At 44.4% G+C, this 15,101-nt stretch overlaps 1 protein-coding gene across 13 annotated transcripts in view, besides 3 other annotated features; it reads right to left on the minus strand.

The window, feature by feature from the left end:
* Window positions 1,769–2,269: an enhancer, noted in NCBI's record as "H3K4me1 hESC enhancer chr14:69515530-69516030 (GRCh37/hg19 assembly coordinates)". NCBI's record gives its function as "activates a minimal SCP1, AML or CMV promoter by ChIP-STARR-seq in naive H9 embryonic stem cells {active_cell/tissue: H9 hESC(naive)}" and the evidence as "EXISTENCE:reporter gene assay evidence [ECO:0000049][PMID:30033119]".
* Window positions 3,837–15,101, minus strand: part of DCAF5 (DDB1 and CUL4 associated factor 5) — a 102,317-nt gene continuing 91,052 nt past the window's right edge. For 11 of the 13 annotated variants that reach the window (XM_006720298.3, XM_006720297.3, XM_011537278.2 and 8 more), the window contains one exon: window positions 3,837–8,567. In XM_006720298.3, the coding sequence (XP_006720361.1) occupies window positions 6,813–8,567 (1,755 nt within the window). In that variant the 3' untranslated portion in view covers window positions 3,837–6,812. The remainder of the gene's footprint in view (window positions 8,568–15,101) is intronic. The other 2 variants (NM_001284206.1, NM_001284207.1) reach the window with 1 other exon arrangement.
* Window positions 7,853–9,052: an enhancer, noted in NCBI's record as "BRD4-independent group 4 enhancer chr14:69521614-69522813 (GRCh37/hg19 assembly coordinates)". NCBI's record gives its function as "activates an origin of replication core promoter dependent on BRD2, P300/CBP, MED14 and CDK7 cofactors, and independent of BRD4, by STARR-seq in HCT116 cells {active_cell/tissue: HCT116}" and the evidence as "EXISTENCE:reporter gene assay evidence [ECO:0000049][PMID:35650434]".
* Window positions 9,183–9,750: an enhancer, noted in NCBI's record as "OCT4-NANOG hESC enhancer chr14:69522944-69523511 (GRCh37/hg19 assembly coordinates)". NCBI's record gives its function as "activates a minimal SCP1, AML or CMV promoter by ChIP-STARR-seq in naive and primed H9 embryonic stem cells {active_cell/tissue: H9 hESC(naive and primed)}" and the evidence as "EXISTENCE:reporter gene assay evidence [ECO:0000049][PMID:30033119]".

A 15,101-nucleotide genomic window follows, 5' to 3' on the forward strand; every position in this document is an offset into this window, starting at 1 on the left:
GGAGGTCGTGTACAAGGCCCCAAACTCTGCTTTAGTCAGGTCCACCATAATGGGAATAATTTACTCTTTTTTTGTTTTCAGGTTAAGACTTACTAGGGTACAGTACATTCTTTCTCGGAAGGAGAGGTTACTTTCTCAGCAGACCCCATCCAAAAAAGTCTTCTACATGGTGTGCACACTGGTATCAACAAGCAATGAAAGCAAAAAAGAGAGAATGTACTAATGATAGCAAACATTTCAGTGCTTTCTAAATAACAGGCATTGTCCCAAGCTATGTATAGCTTATATATATTATATAATCATTGTATATTATATCATAGTTTGTATATAACATATATATAGCATATATATACATATCTGCCCATTTGATCTCTTGACAATGTGCTGAACCCATTTTACAGAGGTAAAGCTTGAGGCTCTGAGCAGCTGTACACTCGCCAAAGATCTTGGCTCACTGGTTCTGGTGGGCACTACAGAGATGTTTTAAGAATGACAGCTCATCAGAGTGGGAGCTAGAAAGCCCTCTGATCCCCAGGAGGGACACATAGAGGAGCTGGAACAGAAGGAATTGGATTTGAGTTGAGAGGGATTTGTTTCACAGTTCCCAAGAGTCTGAGTGACTTGCCCGAGTCTCATGCAGCAACTCCACGGGAGAACATGTACAGGATCCGCTTCTCTTGCTAGTTCAATGCTATTTCCACCTAATTCACAGTTCTCTTGGGAGGAAGAGAAAGGAACAGAAGTTAGCCTTAACTATTTAAGGTGAGGTCTTGGAGAGATAAGAGAAAGAATTGACTCTGAGAAATGAAGAGAAAATAAGGTAAGAAAGTTACAAAAAAAGAAAAAAAGAAAAGGAAAGAGATAGGGGTAGGACCCAAATATTGTCACTAACCAGTCTAGGAATAGGCAAGCATGTAGATGTATGTTACCCTATGAAAGCCTATGCCAGTCACCAACAACCACACACTCACCTATTTTAGGAGCATGTTTAAGTACATATGCTGGTGTTAGGGTTATAATACAATCCTTTTTTTAATGGCATTTATGCATTCTAGCAAAGAGGTCTGAAAAGATAATTTCTCCCAAACTAATCTGCATTTTTTTCTTCTTCTTTTTGAGACGGAGTCTCATTCTTTCACCTAGGCTGAGATCTTGGCTCACTGCAACTTCCGCCTCCCAGGTTCAAGTGATTCTTGTGCTTTAGCCTCCTAAGTAGCTGGGATTACAGGCATGCACCACCACGTCCAGCTAATTTTTGTATTTTTAGTAGAGACAGGGTTTCACCTTGTTGCCCAGGCTCGTCTCAAACTCCTGACCTTAAGTGATCCGCCCACCTCGGCCTCCTAAAGTGCTCCAAGTACAGGTGTGAGCCACCACACCTGGCCTCAATCCTGCATTTTTTGACCTCTATTATTATTATACAGTCCCTGACTCACGACACAGTTTTTTGACTTTATGATGGTGTGAAAGTGATATGCATTCAGTAGAAACAGTATTTCAAATTTTGAATTTTGATCTTTTCCCAGGCTAGCCACATGTGCATTAAGATACTTGCTCATAATGCTGGGCTGTGGCAGCAAGTTTTGGCTCCCAGCCAGCTACTGATCACAAGGGTAAACCACCAATACTCTGCAGTGTACTGTGTTGCCAGGTGATTTTGGCCAACTGCAGGCTAAGTGTTCTCAGCACGTTTCAGGTAGGCTAGGCTATGACAATCAGTAGGTTAGATGATGGCTTTTTCGTGTTTTTTTTTTATTATTGTTGTTGTTTTTGAGACAGTCTCACTCTGTTGCCCAGGCTGGAGTGCAGTGGTGCGATCATGGCTCAATGCCGCCTCTACCTTCCCAGGCTCAGGTGATCCTCCCACCTCAGCCTCTCGAACAGCTGGGACTATTGCTGTGCACCACCACTTCTGGCTATTTTTTTTCTATTTTTTGAAGAGATGGGATTTTGCCATATTGCCCAGGCTGGTCTCAAAATCCTGAGCTCAAGCAATCCACCTGCCTTGGCCTTCCAAAGTGCTAGGATTACAGGCGTGAACTACCACGCCTGGCCTAAATGCATTTTTGACTTACAACATTTTTTTTTTTTTTTTTTCCTGAGATGGAGTCTCTGTCTGTCGCCCAGGCTACAGTGTAGCGACACGATCTCGGCTCACTGCAACCTCTGCCTCCCAGGCTCAAGCGATTCTCCTGCCTCAGCCTCCTGAGTAGCTGGGATTACAGGCATGCACCACCACGCCCGGCTAATTTTGTATTTTTAGTAGAGATGGGGCTCCATCATGTTGGCCACGCTGGTCTTGAACTCCTGACCTCGTGATCTGCCTGCCTCGGCCTCCCAAAGTGCTGGGATTACAGGCGTGAGCCACCGCGCCTGGCCGACTTACATTTTCAATTTATGATGGGTTTATCAGACATAAAACCCCATCCTAAGTTGAGGAGCATATGTACTGGGGGATTTTGGTTGGAGAATCTTGATGACCAAGTGTTTCAGAGGCCAGTCCCATGGCACATTGAATGCTAGTTCTGTGGATCCAGGAAGTTAATGGACCCACCTAGCACTTTATTTCTTCCCTTGCAGTCTTCCTAATCCCGTCCCCCAGATGTCTTCCCTCCCAGCTTCCCTAGATAACAAAAACTTCCCTTATGCCTAAGGAGTCTGGGTGAGCCCCTGGATATCTTAGGGGCTTTATTGTCTTTCCCAGCTTTAGTAGGGGAACTAACAAAGGCAGATAGACTTCTAAGCTAGCATTCTGTACTTTGGCTGGAATATTCCACAAGCTCATGGCTTTGGGCCATAAGCCCAAAGGAGTCATTTCCCAACTTCAGTATTTTGAAACATTAGATATCCTGTTTCCTTACAACGTGACCATCTTGCAGATAAGCACTGCTAGATCATCTGCACATTCGAGTAAATCCTGTTGTGAATTGAACAGAGTAACTCCTCTTGCTTATCCAGGCAATGTTAAGTGCAGGGCACAGGGAAGTTTAAGCTTTGCCTCTAAGCCTCCATTCTGAGAAGCATCTTACCACCACTGTTCTAACAATGAAATGCAGTTAGGATTCAGACAGGTTTTCGATCCACGTGCACTATTGCATGTGAGAAGCATCACTGAGAAATTCAAAATTACTTTTAACTATTTGAATTCATGTAATTTAATTCCAATATGAGTGCTCAAGGACAAATTAGCACTCAGATCGGAATATCCCACCTGAGAACCACACAGTTTGTTCAAAACCACTATCCTGCTGCTGCAAGGCTGGGACTCACTGAGCCTTACTTCACCTTGGTGTTTCAATCATGGCATGTTGTCTTGCTTAGGTCATGGGGGAAGGACAGTCTTCCTTTGGAAGCGTCTGTTTTCCTGACAAGCCTTGGTTGGCAAGAATTTTTCAGTTAACTGTAGCAGGCAGCTTTACAGGCAGGAGATACGAGTTTTGCTTTTTTTTTTTTTAGAAAAAAGTTTGCAGTGCATGCCTGGAGCAAGGCAGGAAATGCAATTTGGTATTTGGAAACATCAGAAAATATTTCTTTGGGAGCTGTTTGTAATGTCACTTCACTGCATTGTTCCCTCTGTTCCAACTAATAAAATTATCAGTTCCAGAGTCTCGCTATCTTAAGTCCCTTTAAACCTGTTAAGGAGAACAAATAAATACCTCCTCCTACCCTGCATTTTGTTGTCCAGATGTGACCTTTGTCCCAATACCTAAAAGTGACAATGACCATTGTCATGGATGTGGAACACTGCAGTTTTTCTTCTAGTTTTCAGCATAGCTTTCAATCAAGTTTCCAACTAGGCAAGAATTAAAACAGAAAAGAAATAAAGGAGAGGTGTCTAAGCAACCAAGTCTTCCCTGGAAGAGAAGAGGAAGACGTGAGAAGTGAATAATAGGTTTATTTGCATATACACAAGAGAAGAGTTAACCGTTACTGGGTGAGAAGGAGGTAAGGCTTCAGCAGAGGAAGGCACCTTGACAGACAAACAAGAGACTCTCAGCTTATTAAATCAAGCATAGTCACAAACTTCACTTGCCCCAAGCCAACAACTTAACTCATTTACCTGCTGTCCTAGAGAATCATTAACAAAACCAGCTGGAAAATAGAGAGAAATGATTTTACATATCTGGACCTGCCACTTAAAACTTTATGTACAGAATGCAGGAAAAAAACATAAGAGGCACTTCCAAATAGTTCTTGATCTAATCAGTGCCATCTGTCCTGCTATTAAAAATATCTATTATGGAAGAAATTGGGTATTAAATGTGCCATCAAAGTTGGGGCCTCAATTCTAAAAGAGTTTAGGCAAAGGTACTCTAGAAGTGGTTCCTGCCAGGTTTCCAGACCCACAACCATAGACACAAAATCTCTGGAGATGAGGGTGGAGCAGCTATAAAGCAAGCATTTCTCACCCTGCTCATGTGTGTGTCTTATGGGGCCTATCACCCGGTAAGCTGAGCCTAGGATGCTGGGAAGCCTCTGCCAAGGATGGAAGGCATACTTGCTAAAAATGATCTTTCTTGGCTTCTCAAGTTAACCAGAATAAACTCTGATTTCTCTTTTGAGTACCCAAATGAGATTAAGGCTTTTAACATGAAAAGACCAAGTTCTGCATTTGGGAATTGTAACTACCAAGTAGCTAGTTCCCAAGGGAACTTTAACTACTTCTTTTCAGGAAGATATGTATCCGATTGTCCTTTGAGAAGTCAGAAGAGGCTAAGTACTTATTAAAATAAAATAAATAGAATAGAATAAAATAAAGGACTGGGTGTGCTGACTAAGAAGGGGAAGAGAAACACACACTGAGTGATCGTATTTTTTTTGTATATAAAGGATTAAAAAATTCCAATTTAATACATTTTGGAAAAGCAAATGTAAAATGACTTGGGCTTATAAAACCAGCATTTACAATTATCTGTGAATAGTCAAAGACAAATCATAGAACCAATCTGATTACAAATCCAAAGTAATTCTAATGTTGGTTACAGAATCACTTTCCCACTCCCCCAGTAAAAGTCCAGGTGTTAAGTTGTACACACCCCCATGCTACACACACTCCTTCATCTCCTTCTCAGTGTTTTCATACCCCAGCCGCATTACACACACCAGGCACATCTTCTCTTTCACAGAGCTTATCAGGATGGTATCTCCTTTTGGCTTAAACCAACCACCTTGTGTTTATAAATAACCCCCCCACCCCCAGTGCCTGAATTCATCCACATCTTCTGCCTTCATAGGCAGCCTCCCCTTGGCTCCAGTTCCAGCAGGACAGGCCTTCCTCTGAAAGGAAGCCTGGGGCAGTGAGGCCACACTAGTCAGCGTTCGGCCCTCCCTACACCAATCCCAGCTGGGCTCCTAGTTGTCTAGCACCTTTGCACTCAAGAAAGTTATATTGTTTTTCTCTCTCTTCCTCATTTCTTGCCAGTATTCTGCCTTTTCATAACATTTATGCCAACAAGATATCTGGTCATTCCCAGACCTTCCTGTTTTGCACAACCCTTCATAGATAACCGAGTGACTGCAACGCTGAAAATCTGTTGCTCTTTTCTCTTCTAAACCTGTATCTACCTCAATAAAACTGAGTCTTTTATGGGAACCAGAAGACTTAAGACTAATGGGAACCAGGAGTCATAAGCCAGAGACTCCTCCCCAACACCTTCTGACTCCTAATAGACCTACTCAATAAGAATCTGTTACCTTGAGATGCCTACTGCTCTGCAAAGTCTAGTGAGAACACCACAGCCTCTATCAACTGCAAGTCTGAGGGAAGATGCCAGTCCCACCAATTCTGACCAATGGTTCTGGGTTGAGTTAAATGAATATAGTACCACATTCTGCTCCTCACTAAGCTTCTTCGTTAACACACCTATAACAACTACTTTAGTAGCCTGAGCACAAAGCTCTGGAAAGCTGTCTTTGCCCTTCTTTCACTATGCCTCGATCGATCATGGGAGCCAAGGAAGCACCTGCTGGCCTTGTGAGTGCCTCTTAGGATCTAGCACCTAACTGGTTAAAGTCTGTTATCCATGACTAGCTCTATTTTATGGCCTTCATACAGTACATGTTGCAGCACTGCTCAATTTGCAAACAGTGAAATTTATCAGGAATCTATATTCTCTTGAATCTGATCTTAAGTGCTAAACCTCTCATTAGCATTAAAAATTCTTTTTTATAGTATGTCCACATTAAATGCTCAATAAAGAAGTGTTACTTAGAGAAAACATGGAAGATTTCTTTAAGAAAGGAACCATGCTTTCCTCTCCAGCGCAGCCAATGGGCTGAAGGCCTGTTTCCATTCTCCATTCTTCCAGCATAAATCTACAACTCACTGGCAGCACAACCTGATTTAACAGGCACCCATCATCCAGACCAGAACACCTATGGCATGTAAACAGGGTGAGATGGCAAAAAGTACAAATTCATAGGTCCTTTCTGATGGAGAACTAAAAGGAAGGTCTTATGAGACAATAAGCGCACACGTGCCATTGTGCGTACACAAGAACAAGTCGAACGTCTCAACAAAGATTTACTTCCACAGAGCCTTGCGCGGCACACTACGCTCACGTCTCACTAGAAAGGAGTCACTTGGGTTATTTTTTTTTCCCCTTTCTTAACACAGCACAAGCCAATGGCCAGCTAGACATTCAGACCCGTTGTTGAATGTTGGATAGAAGGGAGCAGCATCAGACACAAAATTTCAGGCCCTGGTTTCATGTGCCTTTAATACTTGTTTTTCCTTTCCTCTGTATTCACTAAACAATTTTTTTTTTTTTGTAAGGCTACTTTTGTAGCTTTTTGTTTTCCCTTTGTATTTATCATGTTTTTAATTTCTTCTCTGAGGAGGAATTCTCTGAATCTGTATCTTCCAATTCAATTCGTTGCCTTTTGAGGCCACTGTGGCCATGAACAGCCCTGCTACTATCTGTGGCTGGGGTGTCAGTGGGGTCCTCTCTTGTTCCAGCATTGGGGGTCTCACAGGCCATTTCAGACCCGCAACAATCTTTGTGTAGGAGTGTCCCTGTCAGGGACGAGTTATCACGGTCAGTGTCTGAGTGTCCTGGGGAAGAGTAGGCCACCACCTCCAGCTCCCCCAAGTTCTGCCCGTTATTGTGAGGGTGAGGGGGACGAGGGTGTAAGCGTCCATTGTTGTGGTTGGCACAGATGGTTTCGAGGCTCCTCTCCTCACTGTCATCAGACTGGGTCCTGGGACAGTTGCCAGACCCGCTGTTGAGAGTGGAGCCAGATGCCTTGGGGACAGGAGGAGAAGGCGGCTCCTCAGCCCGACTGCTCAGGGCCTTTCCATTGAGCTTCTTGGTTTCAAAAGGGTGCTCTACAGAGCCGCTATTGCCAGTGTCCTGAGAGGTACCCTCTGGCACCTCTGCCCAAGCATGGCTGCTGTGCTCATGGCCTGGGCCATTGCTGGGAGTTCTAGGAGTCTCTTCTTTAAAAGTGTCCTTGCTGCAGCCTTCAGGTGGCAGGTCCTGGTTCCTCTGGGCCATTGCTATGTTTAGACAGGCTTCCTTACTGGAAGAAGGGGCTGGGTTGTCTTTGTGGCTGGTTCCTGCTCTCCCTTCATCTGCCTCCCCGGTCACCAAGGAGGTCTCTCCATCTTTGTTATTTGAGTAGGAGATATAAGAGTAGCGGAGCCACTTGTAAGCTTTATAAATTTTTCGCTCAACTGATTCTATGTCAGAAGTTGGTGATGCCCGGCTTGGTTGAATCTCTAGCGTGGAAGTGCTCCGCTCAGGGGACGAGGTTGGGGAGGAGGAGAGGTCATCCACTTTGATCTGGGGGTAATCATAGTTGTCTTCTCCAATGTAAGTGTTGGTGGGCTTGATTGGGGCACTGGGCTTGTCTTCTCGGGTTGTCTTCTGTCGGCGCCGCATGGCATTCCGCTGCCAGGTAGAGGCTCGGCGTTCATTCAGCTCCTCCTCATCCTCAGAGCTGCTAGAGCTGCTGGAACTGCTGGATTCATCTTCGGGGCTGGGTGACCGTGGCCGGGGAAAGAGATCTGTGTCTAGTTCCACCTCACAGACATTCTCCTCAGAATCGGACTCATTGGAAAGGGCCAGGAGGCGTTTGTCTTGGTAGCGCCGCAGAGCAGACAGACGCTGCTGGCGAGAGGCTGCATCCTCACACGTGGGTGTTGGTGGAGTTGAGGCTACTGTGTTTGTGGTGGTGACCCGCAGGGGCCCCAGGTGGAAGGCGTTGTCGGCAGACTCATCTACTGTGGGAGGCGGGGAGCGAGGCAATGAGGCCGAAGACTCTGAGTCAGTGTAGCCTGAGCGCTCGCTGACCCCAGCGTGCAGTTGGAGGATAGTACTCTCACTGAGGTCACTGTCTGAGTCAGAGCTCCAGCCCTCGATCTCTCGGCGTACCAGTGAGTCAAAGAAGGCCATCATCCGGGGGTCTTCCTGGACCGACTGGTTGGCGTAGTCATGCGACAGGCCACTCCCACTGTTCAGCACAAGGCTGATGTACTCTTCATGGGTATAGAGGCAGCGGGAATCGTCCTCAATCCGACCGTCGAGGTCTCCAGTACATCCTGGCTGCTTGTATGGGCTCCAGATCTGAACAGAAAATGAAAAACAAAAGCAACAAGGAGTAACTGGAAAGTATTCTTTCACTGGTGGTGATAAAGAACACCAAGGCAGAACTTCCCCAGACTCTCCCTGTAATTTAACTAGGACTTGCTAACCAACTTAAAAATAAGTTCTTTACCAGACTGGATCATGTGGGTTATGTATGAAAACTGAGGTTTTTAGAATCAGATGTGGGGAAATGCATGGTCTAGAACACAGTATTAGCCTAGTGTCAAGAGACCTACCTAAGTCCTGTCTCTTGGCCCAGGGTAATCACATACTTTCTCCACCAGAATCTTCCTCCCTTTTAGTTTCATCTATTAGTAGTTGGACATTATAATAATAATCCTGGAGAATAGAGGATGACTTGAAGATTTCCCAAGGTGTTAAAGACTTTCAGAAGACTGAAGCTGTGCACAGAGAGGTACCACTTTTCCCAAATGAAAACAGACCCAGCACTCAGCCCTCCATGGTAGTTAATATCTGAGCCTATAGCTCCACTTCTGCCCAACTGCAACATTCCTATTTTTAACTAATGGGAATTGCTCACTGGAGCTTGATAAGAATAGCCAACTGCCTACACTGCAGTTCCCTCTTGGACATACAGGCACTAGTTACCCAGGAAACTGGGTTCTCTTAACCAGGGAGCTGCTGGCTTAATCCCCAACAAGTCTGTTAGCTATAGGAGTAGGTAGGACACATGCCCCAAGGACAGGTAACTGCAGCCCCACTCATAATACCCCTCCACTCCATGGTCAGGGACATGGACTCATAGCTAAAAGGCAGCAGAGCTAGGATTCAAACTCAGGTCTGCCTGACTTAAAGGCTTAACTTTACTGTTATGCAAAATCAAGTGCAAGGTAATTAAGCTGTCACTGCAAACGAGAACGATTAGCTCCACCTGACTGCCAGACTGGTTCACAGCAGCACAGAGCAGCCCAGTTACATCAGCCTGTAGTCATGGCAACTCAGATGAAATCCCAGGCAATCTTCTTGCCTGACAGGCTGGTGTCTATCTTTAGATGGCATCCAACCCAGAAAACAGTGGCCCCTCAATTCCCCATCCTTCATCTAGACCAAGACTTCGTTTCCCCAAAGCTATCTAAGGACAAATGCACCTCCCTGTGGGAATTCTCCTGAGTCCCATTCCTGCCATGCTTTACTTGGCAATTCCTGAGAGGTGGTATCTCTGCAGAGGACCCCCCATTTCCAAAGAGGCTGAAGAAACCTTCTAGATTAGCATCTCTCCACCAGTTTCCAACTCAGATTCATTCCTCCTTCAACTTTGTTCCCTACCCATAACTCTAGATGTGGCTCAGATGTTCTCTCCTCTCCAGCTTCATAATCTTACCCTAGAGAGTTTCAAGGGATTGGTTTTCACTTTGGAGTGCACAAGAATCACCAGAAGAGCAATTATAATGTTGATTCCTCAGTCCCACTCTTAGAGGTTCTGATTCAGTAAGTCATGAACAGGTATCAGGACCATGCATTTTTAACCACTCAAGGGATGAGTAAGTAGGGAGATCAACTTTTGAGAAACACTAGACTACAGTTACCATAAAATAAGCAGAATAAAATAAAGGGTTTATCTGAAGGTTTACACATGGTCTCCAGCATGTGGCTTAAGCTATAATTACTATCTCTGCAAAGAGATGTCTAAGGGAATAAAAGAGCTTGGTGGCTTAGAAAGGAAGCTGAGGGGTCCAAAAGGGAAAGCCCTTAGGATTTTTTTTTTTTGCATCTTATTTGTAATTCTGAGCCAAATCTCTCACCTCTCCAGTTTAAAAGTGGTAAAATGTCATTAACCATGTTCTCTAATATGAAGATAAATCTATTTGTACCTCACAGAAACTCACAACTAGTTAACTAAAGTACAAAATAACAACAGTGAGATGCTGGCTTAACTCCTTACTAAGCCCATTTTTAAGTTCCAGTGTATTACTACCCAGCTCCTACATTTTCCCTTCAGGAATGAAAGTCATAACACTGAAAGTTAGTTTGCATTTGAGCTCTGGAATGTATTAAGCTGAGGTAGACTGTTCATTCCTGAAGCCTGGAGTAATGGAGTGAAACACAGGATTAAGAGGCAGGAGTCTTGAGTAGGGGTTCCCACTGACTCCTAGTTAGTGGGTGATGCGCAGCTCCTTCCTCTAAACAGTAAATTAGATGGGTCTCATCCAATCCTAAGATTCAGAGCAAAACAAAACCTTCACTCCAGACACACAGTACAGCACTTCAGCAGTAAGGGGAGCAGGTAGGAACCCCAGACCTGTCATTTCCTGTGGCCCTGAGCAAATGACCTCACACTTGAAAGCCTGTTTCTCATATGTGTAAATGAGAATGATACCAAAGCCCATACCCAACACCAATAAATGTGATGTTTTCTCTTTCATTTGGCAATTGAATGCCTCAACCAGAATGTTAAAACCCACCCTCAGAGAAACTTCTGAACATTATAAGTACTGACCGTTCCTATTATCTTGGTCCTAATCCTTAGTATTAATATATAAATTCCAACCATTTGTGAAATTGGTAATCTCTTTACACTGGAAAGTTAACAACTCAGAAGTGAATCAATGAAAAACCAACTTCCTGTTACATGTTAAATGTGGCAGCCGGGCGTGGTGGCTCAAGCCTGTAATCCTAGCACTTTGGGAGGCCGTGGCGGGTAGATCACTTGAGGTCAGGAATTCGAGACCAGCCTGGCCAACGTGGTAAAACCCTGTCTCTACCAAAAATACAAAAATTAGCTGGGCGTGGTGACAGGTGCCTGTAGTCCCAGCTACTCGGGAGGCTGAGGCAGGAGAATTGCTTGAACCCAGGAGGAAAAGGTTGCAGTGAGCCGAGATCGCGCCACTGCACTCCAGCTTGGGTGACAAGAGCGAAATCCTGTCTCAAAAAAGAAAAAAAATACATATATATATATATGGCTAGACATGTCTCATAATCGGGCAAAGTTCATGAGAAAGAGCCAGGCGTGGTGGCTCACACCTGTAATCCCAGGACTTTGGGACGTCAAGGCAGGAGGATCGCTTGAGCCCAGGAATTTGAGACCAATCTGGACAACATGGCAAAACCCCGTCTCTACAAAATACAAAAATTAGCCAGGAGTGGTGGTGTACACCTGAAGTCCCAGCTACTCAGGAGCCTGAGATGGGAGGATCACCTAAGCCTGGGGAGGTTGAGGCTGCAGTGAGCCATGATCGTGCCACTGTACTCCAGCCTGCTGGGTGACACAGTAAGATCCTGTCTCAAAAAAAAAAAAAAAAGGAAAGAAAAGAAGGAAAAGAAAGGAAGAAGTGAAGAGACAAGACGAGAGATGAGACAAATATTTTCCTCTCCATGCACAGTGAAGTTTAGCTTAAGGGGCTGCTGAGAAAAAGGATGCAGTTCAATTCTTATTCAAACATCATAAAAATGGAAAGCAATTAAGTGACAAGTGTTTGGGTTACACAAGTGATCATGATACGCTTTTATTTTTGGGAAAGGGTCTCACTCTGTCACCCATGCTGGAGTGCAGTGGCATGAACATGGCCCACTGCAGCTTCAATCCTGGGCCCAAGTGATCGTCCCACCTCAGCCTCCCGAGTAACTGAGAGCACAGGCAGGCACCACCATGCCTGGCTAATTTTTAAATTTTTCATAGAGATGGGGTTTCCCTGTGTTGTCCCTGACAATAGGGACTCTTCTCCTAGCCAGGAAGGTGGCAGTAAAGGACAAGGACAGAAAGAAGGGGGAGTAGAGAGAGAAAAGCAGGTCTCAGGCTGGACCAGAATGTGGTGGCTAACGCTCTTTGAGCCACTGATCCTCTCAGAAATAGCAGGCAGGAAAGTGACATTTATTAAAATAGGAGTTAGGCACAGGTAATTCACAAGGCACTCCTGGGTGGTAAGTCACTGTCAGCACCCTCACTTTCCAGATGGGAGACAGAACCAAGGGTCGAGACTCAGCGGCCTTTCAGGATAACGTAAGTGCAGGGTGAGGCAGTAATTCCAATTGAGATGAGGCCAGCATGGCCATTGGTCTCATCCTTCTCCTTACCACCTGCCTTCCTGCAATGCTTAGTGCCATGCCATTCCCAGCCAGACTGTGAATGGGGATGACACCTGTGAGACAGCAAAGCTGAGGACTCCAGAGCTTTTTGCTTTCCTTCTCACTATGATCATCTGTACATACTTAATGTTTCAAAGGGCTAAATGTGCCTCCTGGTGGAAGAGGGTTCAGATCCCATGCAAACTAGGGAGCAGTGAGCTCCATAGTTCAGTCTGGATAACCTCACAGATAAAACACTTTTTTCTCTTTTTCCTCTGAGAACTTGGCTAGTTTGCAACATATGACATTTAGGGCAAGGACTTCAGTTGACTAAACAATAAATAGGGAGATTTATCACAGAAGCATCCCAGAGTGCACACTCAAGCAGGAATTCCTCTTGTAAAGGAGATACCCAAGCAGAAAGCTCTCTGAGAAACAGAATGACGTCAACAGGCCCGGAGAGGACACGTTACAGAGTCAACCCATTAGTCATCAGCCAAAGGAGAAGGGAAAGCAATGCAAGGGACTGGGCCATTTCAATGACTGCCCTACTGAAAGGATAGAATCCAGCAGCAGAATCAGGATGCTTGCTGCCTTCCCACCAGCATGGCAAATGTGGTGGTGACTGGGAAGAACAAAGGGCAGGGCTCTATCCTAGCTTTGCCACCAATTAGCTGTGTGACCTTGGACAGTTAATTTATAATTTAAATCTCATCATCTGTAAAACGAAAAAGTAAAAATGATTTCCTCATTCTAGCCCCACGGGGAAATGTGTGCTGCAATGAAAGTCAGCTCTGATCCACAAGACCAGCAAAGCCTAAATCAAGGAAGTTGGACTAAGGGCAAATAAAAATACTGACCTACATGCCAATATTATATTTCTTTTTTTTTTTGGAGACAGAGTCTCGCTTTGTCACTCAGTCTGGAGTGCAGTGGCACAATCTTGGCTCACTACAACCTCCGCGTCCTGGGTTCAAGTGATCCTCCTGCCTCAGCCTCCTGAGTAGCTGAGACTACAGGCACACACCACCACACCCGACTAATTTTTGTAGTTTTAGTAGAGACAGGGTTTCACCATTTGGGCCAGGCTGGTCTCGAACACCTAACCTCAGCTGATCCACTTGCCTCGGCCTCCCAGAGTGTAGAGATTACAGGCGTGAGCCACCACGCCTGGCCTCAATATTTTATTTCTGACAGCTGCCCCCTGCCATGAAGTACAATTTGATTTAGCTCTGGATAGTTATTTTTTTAAGAACAAAAGAAAATGAAAATTATGAAATAAAATAATCACAATTTTTATTTTTTTCTCTGAAAACTCTCAGGTTTTCAAAGTCATTTTAATAAAAAAATTGAGGATTTTTTTTTTTTAAACAAGGGTCTCACTCTGTTGCCTAGGCTGGAGTGCAGTGGTGGGAACATGGTTCACTGTAGCACGACCTCCTAGGTTCAAGCAATCCCTCAGCCTTAGCCTCCCAAGTAGCTAAAACCACAGGTATACACTAATTTTTAAATTTTTTGTAGAGACCACGTCCCACTATGTTGCCCAGGCTGGTCTCAAACTCCTGGGCTCAAGTGATCCTTTTGCCTCAGCCTCCCAAAGTACTGGGATTACAGGTGTGAGCCACCACACCCAGGCAAAATCGAGGTATTTTAGCTTTTGGCAGGAACATCACCTATTCTTACTTAAAAGTCATTATCTCAGGGACCTCAAGAATTAATCATTTACCGTGAATTCTCATTTTCTCAGATGTGGAAAAAATGGTACTAGCAACTGGAATACAAGTGATGGGCAGTGGGTCATCCTTCTGTGGACACAGGCCAGGCTAGGACCCACTTTTGCAGTTATAAAAACATTTCCTGGTAGAGGTGAGTTCATTCAGCCAATGTGCAAATGATCCAAGTATTTAGTATTCATACCCAAGTAGCCTCAATTACAACCACATGCAGTAGTTTTTGTGATATATCCTGAGACAATTTAACTATGATTCTGGCAATCAGTAGTTTTATCCATGCCATATTAGGATGGCAATTAATGCAAAGTACATACAAAGTAACTGAGGGCATAGTGGCTCTCCTAACCTCCAGATGAGGTTTGGAAAACAGAATACATTATACTCAAGGCCAAAGGCTTTTGAAAATGTTGCAGCATACAAGGTAGTGTCTAGAAGACAACCTCTGTTTCAAAGCCTAGTGATTAGTTTAAAAAAATGGTTCCAAGCCAGGTACAGTGGTGCATGCCTGTAGTTCCAGCTACTTTGGGGGGCTCAGGCAGAAGGATCGCTTGAGCCCAGAAGTTTGAATCCAGCTTGGGCAACACAGCAACACCCTGTCTCTAAAAAAATTTTTTTAATGAAAAACTAAATGGTTCTGAAAAGAGCATTTTAAATCACCTTTCTTTCTTCTTTTTTTAAAATTTATTTATTTTTATTTTTTATTTTATTTTTTAAGATGATGTCTTGCTATGTTCTCCAGGCTGGCCTCAAACTCTTA

This window comes from Homo sapiens, chromosome 14 (assembly GCF_000001405.40).
Source record: "Homo sapiens chromosome 14, GRCh38.p14 Primary Assembly".
Lineage (NCBI taxonomy): Eukaryota > Metazoa > Chordata > Mammalia > Primates > Hominidae > Homo > Homo sapiens.